The 2,930-nt window shown below is 44.4% G+C and overlaps 1 non-coding gene across 1 annotated transcript; it reads left to right on the top strand.

The window, feature by feature from the left end:
- Positions 1 to 221: 221 nt before the first annotated feature.
- Positions 222 to 326, top strand: LOC124902585 (small nucleolar RNA U13). Its single transcript, XR_007062418.1, has one exon. It is a non-coding gene; the product is annotated as a small nucleolar RNA U13 (small nucleolar RNA).
- Positions 327 to 2,930: the final 2,604 nt, after the last annotated feature.

The raw sequence follows: 2,930 nt of genomic DNA, 5'->3' as shown, positions 1-2,930 counted from the left end.
TTCAAGTGGTTCTCCTGCCTCTGTATTCTGAGTAGCTGGGATTACAGGCGTATGCCACCATGCCTGGCTAATTTTCATATTTTTAATAGAGATGGAATTTCGTCATGTTGGCCAGGCTGGTCTCAAAATCCTGACCTCAGGTGATCCACACACCTCGCCCTCCCAAAGTCCTGGAATTACAGGTGTGAACCATTGCACCCAGCCAAAATTCTGATTTAATGATCCTTTTGTAGTTCATGAGCATGACCATCGAGTGTTTACATGCATGTGTGAGATATGACACCTTCTGAACCTTGTTACGGAGTTGGCATGTTACCCATCTAACCTGAAAAAAAATTGTTATTTAACCTTTCTAATTATCTAGACCAGTAGTCAACCAATATCTTATGTAAAGTGCCAGACAGTAAATATTTCAGGCTTGCAGAGCCTAGAGTCTCCATTGAAACTACTCAACTCTGCCATTATAGTGCAAAAGCAGCCACAGCCAGTGTGCTAACAAATGGATCCCTCCGCCTTTCAGTAAAACTTTTTTTTTTTTGAGATGGAGTTTTGCTGTTGTCGCCCAGGCTAGAGTGCAATGGTGTGATCTCGGCTCACCGCAGCCTCTGCCTCCTGCCTCCCAGGTTCAAGTGATTCTCCTGCCTCAGCCTCCTGGGATTACAGGCATGTGCCACCACACCCAGCTAATTTTTGTATTATTAGTAGAGACAGGGTTTCATCATGTTGTCCAGGCTTGTCTCAAACTCCTGACCTCAGGCAGCCACAGGTTGCAGTTGGCCAACCCCTGATCTAGACAGGTTGGATTTTGTTGTTTTATCTATGAAACTTTATGACAAAATGATGAATTTCATTGTGCTTTTTCTTCCAACCATTTACTTTGGCCTGTTGATTTTACTTGCTTGTCAAATAATAGCCTTACAGCAAAATTGTCCTTGCTCTCTTTTTCCCTTAGTTTTCTTTGCCACGAATATTCAGTTTAATTTATTGAACATCTGCTAAGTCATAGGCAACATCCTAGGCCCTGAAGAAACAACTTGAAGACCCAAGATACCTCGCTCTGGGGGATAATAGTCTTTTCTTTTCTTTATTGAGCTGGAGCCTCGCTCTGTCACCCACTCTGGAGTGCCGTGATGCGATCTTGGCTCACTACGACCTCTGTCTCCCGGGTTCAAGCAATTCTCCTGCTTTAGCCTCCTAAGTAGCTGGGATTACAGGTGTGTGTCACCACATGTGGCTAATTTTTGTATTTTTAGTAGAGATTGAGTTTCGCTGTGTTGGCCAGGCTGGTCTCCAACTCCTGACCTCAAGTGATCCACCTGCCTCGGCCTCCCAAAGTGCTGGGATTACAGGCGTGAGCCACCGCGCCTGGCTGATATTAGCCTTTGAGGGTGACTTCTGTAAACAAATTGTCCCTTAGTGTTATGCAGCTGACATGGACATTTCTAAATGGAACACTGGGCTCACAGCGGGTAGACAGAATTATGGCCCCCAGAGATGTCCATGTCCTAATTCCCAGAGCCTGGGAATATGTGACTTTACATGGGAGAAGGGACTTTGAGATGCACTGTGGATCTCAAGATGCAGAGATTATCTTGGATTATTTTGGTGGGTCCAATATCATCAGAAAGGTTCCAGTCAGTGAAAGAGGGAGGCAAGAGAGTTGCTGCAGAGAGGGAGATGAAACTTGGTAACAGAGATCAGAGTGATTTGAGGAAAGGACCACAAGCCAGGGAATACAGGCAGCCTCCAGAAGGTGGAAAAAGCAAAGAAACACATTTTCTTCAAAAGCTTTTAGAAGGAACACAGTCCTGCCAACACTGTGATTTTAGGACTTCTGACCTCTAGAATTGTTAGGTGAGGCGAGATGGCACCATTGCACTCCAAACCTGTTAAGTCATTAGGTTTATGGTAATTTGTTACAGCAGCAGTAGGAGTAAAGACGGGGGCCAGGGATTGAGGTAATTCTGCTGAGCAGAATGGGAAGAAGATGATGGGAGACCAGCACAGTCGTTAATGCCTAGAATCTAAGCTCTTTGAGAGGCTGAAGCGGGAGGATTGCTTGAGCCCGGGAGATCGAGACCAGCCTGGGCAACATAGTGAGAACCGCTCTCTACAGAAAAATTTAAAATTTAGCTAGATGTGGTGGCGTATGCAGGTGGTCTCGGCTACTCAGGAGGCTAAGGTGGGAGGATTATTCGGGCCCAGAAAGTTGAGGCTGCAGTGAACTGTGATTGAGCCACTGCACTCTAGCCCAGCAACAGAATGAAACTCTGCCTTAATAATAATTATTATTATGTAATTATATTTAATTATTTTTTAATTATTTTAATTATTATTATTATTATTGAGGGAATGGTTCTTGAACTAGTTTTGAAAGATAAGGTTGTATTCTAGAGGAGAAAAGGGTTTGGGTGGCAAAGGCCTTTCCAGGCAGAGTGAGCAATTCAAGAACAGATTCAGAGGCACAAAATAGGCTGGTGTCTTTGGGTAGTTTTGAGAAATTTGCTAATTCACTTGCTAATTTAACATCCTGGTTTTGTCCAAGCCGGGCTACAGAGACAAAACCTGGAGAAGGGGATCAACTTCTAAGTCATTGTGAGTGGGAAAGCAGTACTTCCCTCTTATGCCCGAAATCCCCTGATGTCACAGCTGGAAGAAAGCGGGCCATGCCCGTGCCTCTGTCCCCTGTCACTGAAATTTTGCAGCTAGAGGCTACTGCCCTCAGCTGTGTCACTCAGTCTTCCCACCTTGATCATCTCTCAAAGGAGCTTGCAGAAATGATGGGGAGAAATGTTGCAAGAAGTGTATTTGTAACTGTAACGTTAATTCATTTAATAAACTCTTTTGGACCAAAAAATAAACTCTGGATGCCTACCTTAAAAGAAAATACAGCCACATACCAGGAGAGTGCTTACACGGCTAAACTGCTG

This window comes from Homo sapiens, chromosome 10 (genome assembly GCF_000001405.40).
Source record: "Homo sapiens chromosome 10, GRCh38.p14 Primary Assembly".
NCBI lineage: Eukaryota > Metazoa > Chordata > Mammalia > Primates > Hominidae > Homo > Homo sapiens.
The sequence above is the reverse complement of the archived record's forward strand: the minus strand, read 5'-3'. Positions and strand labels throughout refer to the sequence as shown.